Source organism: Homo sapiens, chromosome 16 (genome assembly GCF_000001405.40).
Source record: "Homo sapiens chromosome 16, GRCh38.p14 Primary Assembly".
Lineage (NCBI taxonomy): Eukaryota > Metazoa > Chordata > Mammalia > Primates > Hominidae > Homo > Homo sapiens.
This window is the reverse complement of record NC_000016.10, coordinates 22956497-22972395: the sequence shown is the minus strand read 5'-3', so window position 1 is coordinate 22972395 and position 15899 is coordinate 22956497.

The following is a 15899-nucleotide window of genomic DNA, read 5'->3' as shown; positions in this document are numbered from 1 at the left end:
CTCATGGTCTACACCAGACTCCTTTGTAGTAACTTCTCATAGAATTGGGCTCTTGTCCTTCAGACCACTTATCTCAGTCTGTAATTATATGCCATTATGGAGATTATTTGATAAACATCTGTTTATCCCATTATGCTATATGCTTCATAAAGTCAAGGACTGTGTCTGTTTTCACAATGGTATCTGTGTTGTTCAGTGCAATGCCTAGTACACAGTGGGAACTGAATTCATGTTTATAGAAAAATTGGGGCTATTACATTGAAAAAGTAAAAATCATTGAGGGTCAGAGTAATCGAGGTGACCTGCCCGAGGTCCCACAGCTAGTTTCGAGTAACTAAATTCAAATTCCCTGAATCACAATCCATTTTCTTTTCCATCCATGAGCACTTAATCAGATTTTGTTTCCGCACAATGGTGGTGGTGGTGGCGGGGATGACAATTAGGTGGGGGCAATGGAAGAAAGGCACGAATGACTTGGGCATGGGTGAGGAGTATGTGACCCCTTTCGGAAAATAGTTGAAATTTTTCTCTCAATTATTCCTGCTCTGGGCTCCGCTGAGAACCAAAATTGGGTTAAGACTATTAGAAGCCTATGAGGCAGACAAATGAATGGTTCAGATTTCAGACTATTGTGGAGATCGTAAAAATAGACACTATTTATTCCTTGGGTATTCCCCTCCCACACTGACTCAGGGCTGGCCTGGTAACTTGCTTTGCCCCATGGACCATTGGCAAATATGACACAAGCAGAGGCTCTAAAAGCACTTGCTTATTGAGAATCTTCCCTCTCTTGTTCATCTTAGGACCCTGTGACACCCGTATGTGAATAAATCCAGGACAGCCTGTTGGGTGATGAGGGACACACAGCCAAGTCATTCCCAGCACCCTAGCCAACCTGAAGCCAACCCACCAAACACATGGATGAGGCCGTCCTAGACCATCCAGCCCTGGTAGAGCTGCCAGCTGACCAAAGAGATCAGCTGAGATGACCCAGACCAAAAGAACCATGTCACTTACATAATCATTAAGAATAATAAACATGCCATTTTAAACCCTTAAGTTTTGGGATGTTTGTTACATAGCAGAAGCTAACTGATAAAACCGCAATGCACCCTTGTTTAGGTTTAAATCCAAGCCTCATCATTTAATTGTTTAGCCTGAAAGAAAAGTTCTTTAACCTGCCTGTGTCTTAGTTTCCTCACCTGTGAAATAATGACAAAAATGGATTATGTAATTTACAGCATTCATGTACACAGTAAATGAGTTAATATTTTAAGAATTTTCAGAATGGTGCCTGGGATATAGTAACTGCTATACATGAGCACAGCTATCATGAAAGATGATGATTTCCACCACCTATGCCATGTGTAATTAAAACAAAAACTGCTTGAACAAAATTGGTAAATGTAAAGACCTCTACAAAGTTTTTCTGGAAATTATTGAATGCTAAGTGTCATAAGCATGCGCTCCTCCCTCGTTTTGGGTGCCATCCCCTGTTACTGATATCTTAAGTGTGTTCTAGTTTCAGGGAGCCCCAGCTGAGAGCCCCTGGGTGGAGGAATTCTCCATCTTCTGGCAGACATTAGGCTCCAGTCAGCCCCCTCCCTGCAGCAGCTGCTGTCTTTCAGCAGGGTTAATCTGTATTCAAGCCAGGGAGTGACAGCACAGAGCAAGACATTCAAATGCACATTGGAGACCCTGTGAAACCTGGTCTCCAGACCATGATCCACAGGGAGGGCAGGACCCTCTCTGCATTGACCCAGGCCTCTGCCCTCCTTCCTCAGGGGCTATGCTAATTAGAGGGGCTGCTCAGCTAATGGGGGTGCTCATTGGCCTGACATGCTCTGAATGCACAGCCTTGGAGGGCGCTCAGGGTTACAGAGACTAAGTCCTTTGGCCAGTTTTCCACCCACGCAGCTGATGAAGTCCTGTTTCTTTAAAATTTCCACTGAATGGTATTAATAGAAAGGGATGGAGGCATCTCCCCACCCTTGTGTTATGTGATATCGTGAAACTGTCCCATGGGGGGAGATGTCATTGTGAGCAGTCATCTCTCCTTGAGGCCTTTGGTTTACATCCAGCTCATTATTACTTACCAGGCCGCTGGTGTCCTGAAATGCTTAACAGAACAAAATATTACAGCATAAGAGAGGAAGATGGAGTGCTGAAAGAAATATTACAGACTGTTCTAGTATTTCTCAACCCTTTTCATTTTATATCATTTTTTTCCTCCTGGGCACACAGACTGTGGCATAGATAAAGGGTGTACAGGGAATGAATAAGAACACAGGCTTTGATGGCAAGCAGATTTGTGTCTGGGTCCCAGCTGAGTCACTTACTGGCTGTGTGAGTTGAATGTGCCACTTAATCTTGCCACACCTCAGTTTCCCCAACTGTAAAATGAAGATAATACCAGTTGCTACTGGGTAGGGTTGCTTGAGGATTGAAAAATAAAGCAGGTATTCTTTCCCAAACTTTACAGGCTTCAACTACTTTTAGATTCTGGAACATCTACCAGGTGCAATCCCTCCTTCCACCCACTTGATGGAACAATTTCATTCTACACAGGAGGAAACAAAAAAAACCTGAGATGGGAAGTTGGTTGTGCCAAGAATCACTGAGTCATTATGCTTTCCAAGCACCTGCCTTGTCACTCTGTCCGCCCTTCCTATTAGGAAACACCCCACAACCACGTGTGTTTTTCTGAATGCTGATCGGACCAGAGATAGACACTTGGCCCAAGGGGTGGCCCATCAGTTCTTGCTTTCAGGAATTTGGCCTGGGACATTAAGCTGAAGCTGAAGTGGCCAAATTGCATTTTGAGAGGTCATCACATTGAATAGGGCCCCTGCAAGGGAGAAAGTGTGTGTCATGAACAAGGGGCAGTTGTGGAGCAACAGGATTTATAATGTAAACTAAAGATAAAGTGTAGATGATGTGGACACTGGTGGGAAGCATCAGAAGATGTGAAGAGCCAAGAGAGGCACATATTGGAGGGTTGAGTTGAGAGCAAACCTGAATGGGCACTTGGCAAGTATTTTTGGAATGTATGGTGGATGACAGCAGGGGAAGAGAAATACTTCGAACTTCCTTGAATTCTGTTCACCTGCCATTTCCCAGCCTCATCCACTTGGCTGGAGTGATTCCTGCTGTTGGATTTCTGAGAGATTTGCAACCCTTAATGCCCCATGGGCATTCTAAGCAATCCTCCTCTCCCTGCCTTTTCTGCAGGCTAAACTCTAATCTGTACCGTGAGATGCACTGCTGCAAAGGGAGGGGCAGGTGGCGAGGGGTGAAGGTTCAGATGAGGAGGAAGGAATGGTGCAAAGACAGGTGGGAGGACATCCAGGGGTACTGAAAACCTCTTTCAGGTTGGACACTGTTCTGGTTATTTATTTCTGCTGTAATGAACCATCCAAAAACATAATGGCTGATACATCTATTTAGTATGATCTGTCAAGTTTCTGTGGGTTGATTTGGCTCAGCCAGGTGGTTTTTACTTAGGGTCTCTTGTGCAGTTGTAGGTAGGTGGCAGCTGGGTTGCTGTCATGTGAAGGCTCGACTGGGCCAGATATAAAAAATGGCTCACTTGTATGTCTGGCAGTTGATGCTGAGTGACACTTGGGAATTTGGCTCTGGTTCTGTGGCTGCCTGTGCATGGCTTCTTCATGTGGCTTGGGCTTCTCGCAGCCTAGAGGCTGGTTTCTGAGAAAGTCCATCCCAAGAGCAAGCCTTCTGCAAGATCCAAGCGGAAGCTGAAAGGCTGCTTTTGACCTAGTCCTGAAAGTCTCATAACATCACTTTTGCCACATTCTATTGGCTAAGCAAGTCATTAAGATCATTCCAGATTTATAGGCCAGGGCATTAAGCTCTACCTTCCAAAGGGAGATGTTTCAAAGAATTTGTATTCATTTCTAATCCATCACAGAGGCCAAGCTAAAGAGGTATGAAAATGTTTCCCCAGTGCCCCAGCAGAGACAGCAGAGGGTACGTTGATGCTGGGTTGGGGTATTGCAAGGTGGGCGGGGATAAAATAATAGGGAAAAAAAAATGGAAGACAATGAGACAGTCTCCAAAAGGCCCTTCATTTCTATCAGTTAGTTAATAAAAGTAGCTATCACTTATCAAGTGCTTTCTATGTGCTAAGTGCTGTCCACAACAAGCTAATGGGTTGGTAACTATTATTATTCCCATTTCAAGGAAGAGAAACTGAGCCACAAGACACTAAGTAACTAGACCAAAGTCATACAGTTTACAAGCCATAGAGCTGGATTTTAAGCAAAAGAATCTAGCTCCAGAGTCCATGCTTTGAGCCACCACACTACACTGTCTAATTTTATTGCCCAACTAGCAATTGCTGAGAATTTGCTATGTCCCAGGCCCTGTTTTAAATCCTTTATATTTTGTTATCTCATTTAGTTCCAAATGGAAAATAGGAGTATGGCTGGAACTCTGGTCTGGGTTATCAATTAGTATAATTCCCATTAACTGCACCAGATTGAGCTCTCCCATGCTATTCATTTCCCATTTCCTGTGCCTGGGATTTGCTGACAGGGAGATGGGTGAGTGACCACATCACAGTGTGAGTTCTAGAAGCAGACAAGCCAAGTGAGCCCCATCACTCAGGCCACACAGGCCACCAAGGTGAGGCCATAGTTCAGGCATTTATCAAGGCAGCCATGTGGGCCAAGGGCTGGATTAATTCATGCCCTGACAGCTAGAGCTAAATTAGATCTAGATAGCACAGCTGTCTCATTGTTTAAGGAATTATAATGCAATGAGCTGTATGCATTTCATAAAAAGGGTTATACGTGCTCATCCTACTAGGAAAAGGCTGACTCTTTATGAGTGCCTCATGCACCACTTCCATGGATCAGGCTAGTAAATTTTGTTCATGAGCAAAGATGTTGATTTGCTCTTAGCTTCTAAAGATAGGGAGATCTGTTGTCAAAGAGACTAGCCCCTCCTCACTGTAGAGATTAGAACACCTCTGGACATGTGGGCTGCTCCTGCCCTGAATGCTGATTTCTCCATGCATGAACAACCCTTTGCTTCCATAGGTCACAGTGCAAGGACACAGTGATCAATGAGGGGGTCTGTGAGAAATGCTATCACCAATCTCCAATGCAATCTCCACTGCAGCATAGTCAGGAATTGATTTCAGAAGCCTCTGAAACTGTCCCTGGGGCAAGGATTGTGGTCTCTTAAATGGAACAATGGCTGCAGTGCTGTAACCTGCAGAATCTGTTAAAGAAAGGACCTTACTACTACTTCGGTCAGAGTCAAAGGTTGATCTTACCTTTGCCTCAGGTTCTCCTAAGTACAAGCATCAAAATTTCAGGGAAGCTAAAAGGTTTAATTGAGCTTGACAAGTAAACCAAAACATACTTATGCTTGATTTCCTTCTTTAAATGATCCCTAGATAGATAGGCTCAAGAGTGAGGCTGATGCTGGAGATCATGTATTTGTAGTGACAGTGAACTGATTGGCCATAGGAGTTTCTGCAGAGGTGTTTAGCAGCCTGAACAAATTCTGGGTATAGGCAGTTGGTGACAGAGGGACAAGGGGATTGAGAGTGTGGGTAGCGAGCAAGTAGTTGAAATGGGGAGTTGTGGGGTCTAGGCTGGTTAGGGAAGAATGTGAAGCTTAGCAGTTCACAGTCTGAGAAAAAGAGAAGGACAAGACCCTAAAGGCTTCAATGTCATTGACGCACGAGGCAGCAGTGGGGAGGGTAAGATATTGCAGCTGGGGAATTGAGCATTTATGGCATGGAACACTTATAAGAGATGCCAAGAAGTTCTAGGCATGGCTTTGGTTGAAATGGGGAAAGTTGCAGCATCAAAGAACAGGGAGCCTCTTGTTGGACAGGTCCTCTCCATAGACACTGAAATTACCCAAGCTGCTGGGGAGTGTCGAGGAGGTTTTGGATGTCAGTGATGAGGCTGGAGGGAGATACGACCAGATGCCATGGACTTCTTTTTTTGCTTGAATTTGGAAGAGTTGATGAGGAAGAAGCTCAGGATACTGTGGGGATGAGAAAGTTCCAGAGAATAAATGCTCCAAGCTGCTTGCATTTTGTAAGATGGCCAAGAATGACAGAGCTGCCTGGTGGCATGAACTGCCTTCAAGTTTCCAGGTCAGGCTATAGATTTACAGGAGCCCAAGAAGCCCTAGCTGCCTCTGAGGTTTGCACAAGGTCTGCCATAATTTGTAGGTATTGACAAACAAATAATTAATTCCAAAAGCAAATTGCAATCCAGGAGTGGGGATGGGCAGGTACATGGTGGACTCAACTGCATGGTGGACTCAACTGTTACCTGGGTGACACATAATCACACATGCAACTACAGCCTTAGGTGAGAAAAAAAAGTCTTGCTGCTTAATTCCCTCTGTGGAATTATTTACTCCTCCTCATAGGTATGCTTTATGTTTCTGTAGAATTTTGGGATGAAGAAAGCCACTGCTGGCCCTGAGTCCAGATGAAGCTCCCTCCCTGGTGCTAATGTCCACAGGTAATATCTTCTCTACTGATTCACCCTATCATGTTCCTTTCAGGAGCAGCAGCTGTGTCCAAAATTGTCATACCTGTGTTACAGACACTTCCCAAGTGATAGGGGTCTTCCTTATCAGATGGCTTGACTGACTCTCAACCATTTTCCATTTTCCCTTTGTAACACTTGGAGGGGAGCAATCATTTTAGATATTAGCCAAGGATCCCCATATGTCATTGCTTTTCCTGTCCATCAAGTTAGTGGGTTTTAGTGCTCCAGAGGAGGGATGGTACAGCAGAGAAGCATGTGACTGTTTGCTATTTGGAGAGAAGGGTTTGGAAATACCTGGTTGACTGGACCCAGTGTGACTTTGCTGTGGGGATGAGCAGATCTCAGCAAGGACTATGCATGGATGATGGACGATGGCCAAGGCAAGAGAGCAGGGTAGCTTGGGGCATGCCAGCGTGGGCAGCAGGCAGTGATAAGGGACCAGTTCACCCTCTGGCACTTGGTTCCTTTGCCCCTCCCACCCGGGGAACAAGTAGGGGTCCTCCCTGAGCAGCTGAGATCGTGTTTTCACCACTCAAAGCAAATGGGGCTTGGGATACCAATAAGGATCAGCTATAGAACCATCCAGAAGGCTCGATTTACTGCACCTCTAATTTGTGGACTGAAATTCTTACTTCTGGAGGAGGCAATCTGTCAGGAATTCTAATCAACTGTGTTTTTAGATTTAATTGTGTGCCTGCATGCCGTACTGATAGCAAACATTAGAAATGAAGCCACATTAGCTCAAGGCAATGCTGCAGCCCGAGAGAATTGGTGAGTGGAGGTGAGATGGCTTTCAGAAGTCACTGCTGATTTTAAAAATTACACTACCTGTGATAATAATGGAGGAAGAGAAGTGGAGCTGAGCAGGAGAGGGAAAGAAAGATGAAAAGGAGGGAGGCTTGCTTCAGAGTTCCCTTAAATGTGGCATTTCTGAAAGAAGCAGATTTATTACTAGAGAGGGCAGGTCAGAAGTCAGAGAAGATTCTGACATCAAATTAAACCAGTTTGCCTTGTAGTTCACCCTTGGTATCAGCCCTTGGGAAGTATTATGGTTTGGATATTTGTTCCCTCCAAACCTCAAATGTTGCAATTTTATGCCTAGTGTTAGAGGTGGGGTGTAATGGGAGGCATTTGGGTCATGGAGGGAAGCAGAGCATATTTATAAGCAGATCTCTCATGAATAGATTAATACCCTCTCTTAGGTTGAATGAGTTCTCACTCTATTAGTTCCCACAAATACTGGTTATTAAATGGAACTTGGTGATCCTTCCCTCTCTTGCTTCCTCTCTTGCCATGTGATCTCTGCATAGCCAGCTCCCCTTCACCTTCCACCATGAATGGATGCAGCCTCAGCATACACAGATGTCCAGTTTTGAACTTTACAGCCATTAGAATTGTGAGCCAAAGAAACCTCTTTTCCTTATAAACTACTAAGCCTCAGGTATTCCTTTATAGCAACACTAGACGGAATAAGACAGAAAACTGAGTCTTCGGCCGGGCGCAGTGGCTCGTGCCTGTAGTCCCAGCACTTTGGGAGGCCGAGGCAGGCAGATCAAGAGGTCAGGAGATCGAGACCATCCTGGCTAACATGGTGAAACCCCGTCTCTACTAAAAATACAAAAAATTAGCCGGGTGAGGTGGCAGGCGCCTGTAGTCCCAGCTACTTGGGAGGCTGAGGCAGGAGAATAGCATGAACCCGGGGGGGGGCAGAGCCCACAGTGAGCTGAGATCGTGCCACTGCACTCCAGCCTGGGTGACAGCGAGACTCCATCTCAAAAAAATAAATGAGTCTTCTCAGTGGGGAAGAAGAGTGGGGAACACACATGAAATTGTGGAAGTACCTTTCAAACTGGGTAATGGGGAGAGCCTGGAAGAGTTTAGAGGGCTCAGAAGAAGACAAGGGAAAGTTTGGAACGTCCTAGAGACTGGTTAAGTGGTTGTGACCAAAATGCTAATAGAAATATAGACAGTATACAGCTGGGCATGGTGGCTCATACCTGTAATCCTAGCACTTTGGGAGGCCGAGGTAGGTGGATCATTTGAGGTCAGAAGTTTGTGACAAGCCTGGCCAACATGGTGAAATCCTGCCTCTACTAAAAATACAAAAATTAGCCAGGCTTGGTGGTGGGTGCCTGTAATCCCAACTACTAGGGAGGCTGAGGCAAGAGAATCACTTGAACCCAGGAGGCGGAGCTTGCAGTGAGCCGAGATTGCACCACTGCACTCCAGCCTGGGTGACAGAGCGAGACTCTGTCAAAAAAGAAAGAAAAAAAAGCAAAGCAAAGCAAAGCAAAGCAAATTATGGGCAATGCCAGAGAGGTCGCACATGGAAATGAAGAACTTATTGAGAACTAGAGCAAAGGTTACCCATGTTACACTGTAGCAAAGAACTTGGCTGCACTGTGTCCATGACCTTAGACTTTGTGGAAGGCTGAGCTTAAGAGTGATGACCAAGCATACCTGGTGGAAGAAATTTCCAAGCAGCCAAGCACTCAAGGAGTGACATGATTACTTTAACAGCTTACAGTGAATTACAGCAGCAAATGAATGAGCTAAAGGCAGACTTTATAATTAAAATGGAAGCAGAGCATACAAATTTGGAAAGTTCACAGCCTGGCCATGTGGTAGAAAAGGAAAGCATTTTCAGGAGAGAAATTCAAGGGTTTGGTGGGAAGTACAAGTTGCTAAAAAAATTTGCATGACTAAAAAAGAGCCAGGTGCTAATAGCCAAGACAATGAGGAAAAGGTCCTGAAGGCATTTCAGAAAACTTTGAGGCTTCCCCCTCTTATCACAGGCCCAGAGGACTAAGAGGACAGGATGCTTTCAGGGGACAGGCCTGGGGTACTACTGCCCTGTGCCACCTTGGAATGTTGCTCCCTGCATCCAGGCCATTTCTTCTTCAGCCTTGGCTCCAAGCAGCCCAGGTACTGCTCGAGCCACTGCTCTGGAGGGCACAAGCCATAAGCTTTGGTGGCTTCCACCTAGATTTCAGAGGTGGAAGCCACCAAGGCTTATGTGGAATCTGTTATGCAGCTCTACGAGGCATTGCAAGGCTTATGCAGCTCTACTAGGCATTGCCTAGGTGGGAACTCTTAGTGATGACTCCACTACTGAGGCAGGTTCCTGCCTGGGCACCCGGACTGTACACCAGAGCTGCAGGGATGGGGCCACCATCAGGACCCCAAAATAGTAGAGCCACCGGCCACTTCTCATCTCACCTGGGAAAAGCCTCTGGCTTAGACTTTGATCCATGAAAGTAGTCATGTAGGCTATGCCTAGCAAAGCCATCAGGGTGGGGCTGCCTGAAGCCTTGGGAGCCCACCCCTTGTATTGGTATGCTGAGGATGCAGGGCATGGAGTCAAGGCGATTACTTTGGAGCTCTAAGATTTAATGTCTGCCCTGCTGGGTTTTAGATTTGCGTTGGGCCTGTTACCCCTTTCTTTTGGCTGATTTCTCCCTTTTGGGATGAGAATATTTGCCCAATGCCTGTACAACCATTGTAACTTGGAAGTGAATAACTTGTTTTTGGCCTTACAAGATCACAGCTGGAAGGAGCTTACCTTAAGTCTCAGATGAGACTTTGGACTCTTGAGTTGATGCTGAAATGATTTATGACTTTTGGGATTGTTGGGATGGAATGATTGTATCTTGCATGTGAGGAGGATGTGAGTTTTGGGGGTCCAGGGGCACAATGCTATAATTTGAATATTTATCCCTTCCATACCTCATGCTGCAATTTTATTCCCAGTGTTGGAGGTGGGGCCTAATGGGAAGTGTTTGTGTCATGGGGGCAGATGCCTCCTGAATAGATTGATGTCCTACCTTGGGGATGAGTGAGTTCTCACTAAATTAGTTCCTGCAAAAGCTGGTTGTTAAAGGAAGCCTGGTACCTCCCCTTGCTCTCTTTCTAGCATCTTGTTTTCATCATATGATCTTTGCACAGCCAGCTCTCCTTCACCTTCTGCCATGAGTGGAAACAGCTTGAGGCCCTCACCAGATGCAGATGTCCAGTCTTGAACTTTCCAGCCACCAGAATCATGAGCCAAATAAACCTCTTTTCTTTATAAACCGCCCAGCCTCAGGCATTCCTTTATAGCAACACTAAATAGACTAACACAGGAGGTTTAGAGAGGATCCACTTGTTAGGATTCTTTTAGGCACAGAGCTCTCAGGGTGGAGCTAATGGTCATGGCCCTCAGCCTCAGAAGTGTGGCCCTCATTAGCAGTCTCTCATGCCCCTGAGCATGGATGGGAATAGTTTAGACATAAATGCCGTGTTCCTGATTGACTTGTTTCCACTGAGTCCATACGTATTAGGGATCTGTTGGTAATTATCCGGCTCCACTTCAGCCCCTGGGGGCCTGTATTCTGCAGCAGTAATGAGCCTGAGCAGCCTTTCTGGCATAATAAACAGCACCAGAATGCAGGGAAGGGCACTGACTTCCTCTTTCAATAGGGCATCTCAGCTTCAAGGACGATCAAGAGACACACAATCACAGGCAAGCTTTAATTGCTTTTGTAAAACTGCAGATGAGTAGCAGGCATTGAGGTCCCCCTGAGTCTCACTTGAGAAGTGAGCTCTTTATTCATCTTGTGTGCTTGAAAAGGGGTGGGAGTAATGACAACAACAGCAACAGCTCTCATTTAGTGAGTACTTATTATGTGCCAGGCTCTGTGTGAAGTGCTTTATGAGCATTATTTTATTTAAAACTCACTGCCACTATATGAAACAGGGACTACTATTTTCCCTATTGTACAGATGAAGAAAGTGAGGCTCAGAAGAAGTGATGTGACTTGTCCAGTTGACAGAAGATGGATGTAAATGATGGGAAGCTAGGGAAGAGCCGGGGGTCCTGGACAGGAGGGCATGGGAAACCTTTTCATGCTCTCTTTGTCTTCAAGCTTGATGAGAAGGAGATGAAGTTCTTCAGGGGAGATGAAGGCAGAGTGATATGTTCTCATATGAAATCTTTGTCACAGTTTCGCTTTCTGACTCTCATAAGGAAGGAAAAAAGATATCAATGAAATTTCCTAAAATCTGCCTGACAATCTGTGTTCAGGTAAGTTACTATGGGACCCCAAAATGTCACAACCTTCAAAACTAGCAAGAGGCCCTAATAATGGCATTTATAATGTCTCAGGAACAAAGTGGCCTTTAAGATAAAATAGATAATACAATTTTTTAAAAAGGAAAGAAGCAACCATAGGCACAAATGACTGGAAAGACATATGCAGCCACCTGAGTGGTAGAATTCTGGACAATTTTCCCCTTCTTTTCATTTTCTATAATGAACCTACTTTTAATTTAAAATAATCTTTAAAACAGTTCTTTAAAAAACAACCATAAAACTGTCTCTTACAAACTCAGTTGTGGATATAAACCATTTCAAAGAAAGTAGAAATGAAATCAACATCTTTGATTTTATGGGATAAGCTAAAGCTGAATTCAGGAAAAATACTTGTCTTGAATATTTTAGTCATTAGATGAGTAAAAAGTGAAAATAAGTGAAATGAGATTGACCTCAAGCATTAGAAAGAGAAGGTGAACAAAATAAACCTAAGCAAAGCAGGAAGGAGGACTTTAAAGAATCATACATTGAATCTGAAAACCTAACACCAATAAAAATTGATAGCTACATCCCAGATCTGGTTCTTTAAATGGCCAGTGAGATAGACAAATCTCTGGAAAATAAGAAAATAGTCAAAATTCAGAATGGAAAAGGAGTTAGAACTATGGACTTAGAGGCTATTTTAAAAGAATTACCAAAGGATATACTATAAGATAATGCAAATGAATTTTAAAACTAGATGAACTAGATTTTTTGAAGGAAAATACAAATGAATAAAATTGACTAAAGAAAGAAGTGGGAAATGTAAATAGACAAGTAGCCCTGAAAGAAATAGTAAAAGTTGTAAACAAACAAAACCCCACTTCCCCAAAATATTGTATGCTCAGACAATTTATGGATGAGTTTTGTTAAACATGCAAAGAGCAGGTTATTTACAGACTCCTAGAAGAGTTAGAGCAAAAAAGAAGAAGAAGAACAAGAAGAGGAAGAAGAAGAAGAAGAAGAAGAAGAAGAAGAAGAAGAAGAAGAAGAAGAAGAATAAGAAGAAGAAGAAGAAGAAGAAGAGGAGGAGGAGGAGGAGGAGGAAGAAATGTTTCTCAAATAGTTTTATAAAGCTAGCATAACTGACAACAAAATCTGATGAAAACATTGCAGAAAGGGCCCAGCACAGTGGCTCAAACCTGTAACCCCAACACTTTGGGAGGCCAAGGTGGACAGATCACCTAAGGTCATGAGTTCAAGACCAGCCTGGCCAACACAGTAAAACCCTGTCTTTACTAAAAATACAAAAATCAGCTGAATATGCTGATGCATGCCTGTAGTCCCAGCTACTCGGGAGGCTGAGGCAGGAGAATAGCTTGAACCCATGAGGCAGAGGTTGCAGTGAGCTGAGATCATGCCACTGCACTCCAGCCTGGGCAACAGAGCGAGACTCCATCTCAAAAAACAAAAACAAAAAACAATAAAAAAAAATCTTAAAAGATAACAATATCTAGTCAAAGATGAATGAGATGTGGGCTCTTGTCAGCATACTACAATTTGGTGCCGCTTCAAACCTAATTTAAATATTAAACATTTGAATTATAGAAGTTGTATGTGCTCGTTGAAACAAGTTAAAAAATGGATGCAATTGAAGCATCTAAAGTAAAATTAATAATCTTTTCTACCCGTCTCCAAACTAATATCCCTAATAAACACTGTTAAAACTATTGTATGGTAACTGTCTATATTTTCCTTTGCTTATATAAACATATGGAAATGTATGGCTACTTACATAGGTTTCCCCTTCTCTTTAAAAAGTAGAAAGTACAAAAGATATTCTTCAGCTTTCTTTAATCAGTTATCAGTTTATCATGGATAATCTTCCAATTAATACACAATACTCTATATGATAAAATTGATGTTCATTAAACATTTATGTAGTACTTATAAAGCAGAGTGGCTGGGTGTTGGTAGGGAAGAGTGGGAAAGGAGTAGACTTCAGCCTCTCCACAGATGCCCCAACAATTCAGTTCTGACCCAGAACTTGCATGAATGTCCCACTGAGCAAAATCATATCCCTATAGTTAATTGGACCATCCTTCTTAGACAGTGGTTCAATGACCATCTATTTGTTCCTTAGGAATTTTGGTGAATACAATGTTCAGTAATATTTGAGTACTTTAGTGATGCTTCAAAGTACTTAGATGCTAAACAGTCATTTGAAGGACTGTTTAGGTGTCTCATCCTATGATCTAGCACTAAGTCTATAGTGGATCATGGGATTAGGAAATAAGCACTTATATACTGTATGTGGAAATTTTTTACAATCTTATATAAAGATAGGAACAATAGACACGAGGGTACATCAGACAGAGGAGTGGGGAGGAGGGCAACGGTTGAAAATCTACCTATTGGATGTTATGCTCACTACCTGGGTAACAGATTCATTCATACTTTGAAACTCAGCATCACGCAATATGCCTTTATAATAAACCTGCACATGTACTCACTGATTCTAAAATAAAAGATGAAAGAAAAATAATTGAAACAGTCAACAAGAATGAGTATTTACATAAAGTCAAATAAGTCTTCCAAAGCAAAAAAAAAAAAAAAAAAAAAAAGAAAGAAATTAGTTACAATCTTTATATAGGGCAACTTGTGCATCCAGATTGGCATACCATTTGAGTAGGTAGTTTAACATAAAATAAGTAAATAAATTTATAATATAAATGATATAAATAAAATAATCAGAGATACAGACAAACCTTTCTGGAGAAAGATGATTATCACTAATTTATTTACAATACAAAAAATTGGAAACAATCTAAATGCTCATCAACAGGAAATAATTATGGTACATTCATGCAATTGAATTCTGTGCAGTTGTTAAAACTAATGTTATAGAAGAATATTGTCATAGGAAAATATTTATAACGTGTGTTGTATGAAAGGTGTGATTATGAAATATTAAGTATTCTACACACATGGAGAGATAGTTAAAAAGATTGAAAGAATATTTACAAAGTTCCCCTTTTATACATAACGTTTTGCTGAAAGTGTCTTTGAAAGTGGGCTCTCTGAAAGTTCAGCACTAGGCTTACATGTGACAAAGTATTCCTATTCTTACAGTGCTAAAAACAATGAAAATCCTGACTTATGGTTGCTGCAGATCTTCTGTGGAGGGGAGACTCTTTGGCAGTGCTCCGCCTGCACCTCAGTGTAGGAGGATGTTGACAGCACAGGGCGTGCCCCTCTTCTATCCATTCAGTGGTATTCACTGTGTATTTGCTCTGTGCCAGTGCCTCTGCTGAGCACAGGGACATGCTGGGGAACAGAGCCAGACTCGTTTATTTTATTTTATTTTATTTTATTTTATTTTATTTTATTTTATTTATTTATTTATTTATTTTGAGACGGAGTCTCATTCCATCACCCAGGCTGTAGTGCAGTGGCATGATCTCGGCTCACTGCCACCTCTGGGTTCAAGCGATTCTCCTGCCTCAGCCCCCGGAGTAGCTGGGATTACAGGCATGTGCCACCATGCCCAACTAATTTTTTGTATTTTTAGTAGAGATGGGGTTTCACCGTGTTAGCCAGGATGGTTTCGATCTCCTGACCTCGTGATCCTCCTGCCTTGGCCTCCCAAAGTGCTGGGATTACAGGCATGAGCCACTGCGCCCTGCCTCAGACTCATTTCTTATTCCCACATAGCTCACAGTTGAGGACGGTGGGACACATCTTAAGGAAATAGTCACATGAATGAATGTGCCCTCAAAGAAAAGAACATGACAGCCATTCCCCTTAGAAGTGATGATGGGAAAATGGACGTGAGCCTCTCTCCTTACCCAGGTATTGCTGACTCTCTTCCCTCTCTCCCCAGGAGCCACAGCAGATGGTTAGGTAGCCCCCAGCCTTAGATCCTCCACGTTGTGGAGTGCCAGGGAAGGGGCAGATGAAACGACTTTCCCTCCTGGGCTTAGTGGCAGGGGATGAGAAGGGCTTTGCTGATGGCCTCTGCCACTGCCCAACCAGAGGACAATCAGAGCAACGCTTTCTACATAAGAGGGCTCCTGGGGTCACTCTGTGGGAAAAACAAAGATGATGGGAAGAGGAAAAGCTGGGCTACGAGACAGAAGAGCCCTGGGATGCACTGGAGTCATTGGGTCTGTTTGTTTTCCAGCTCTTCTTGAAAAATCACATATTCTGGCACCAGTGGTCCCACAACCCTACTTTGTATCAGTTCCCAGGAGCTTCCCTGGCCCTTTAGTTTACCTACAACTCACTTTGTGTTATCTTCCTGGGCC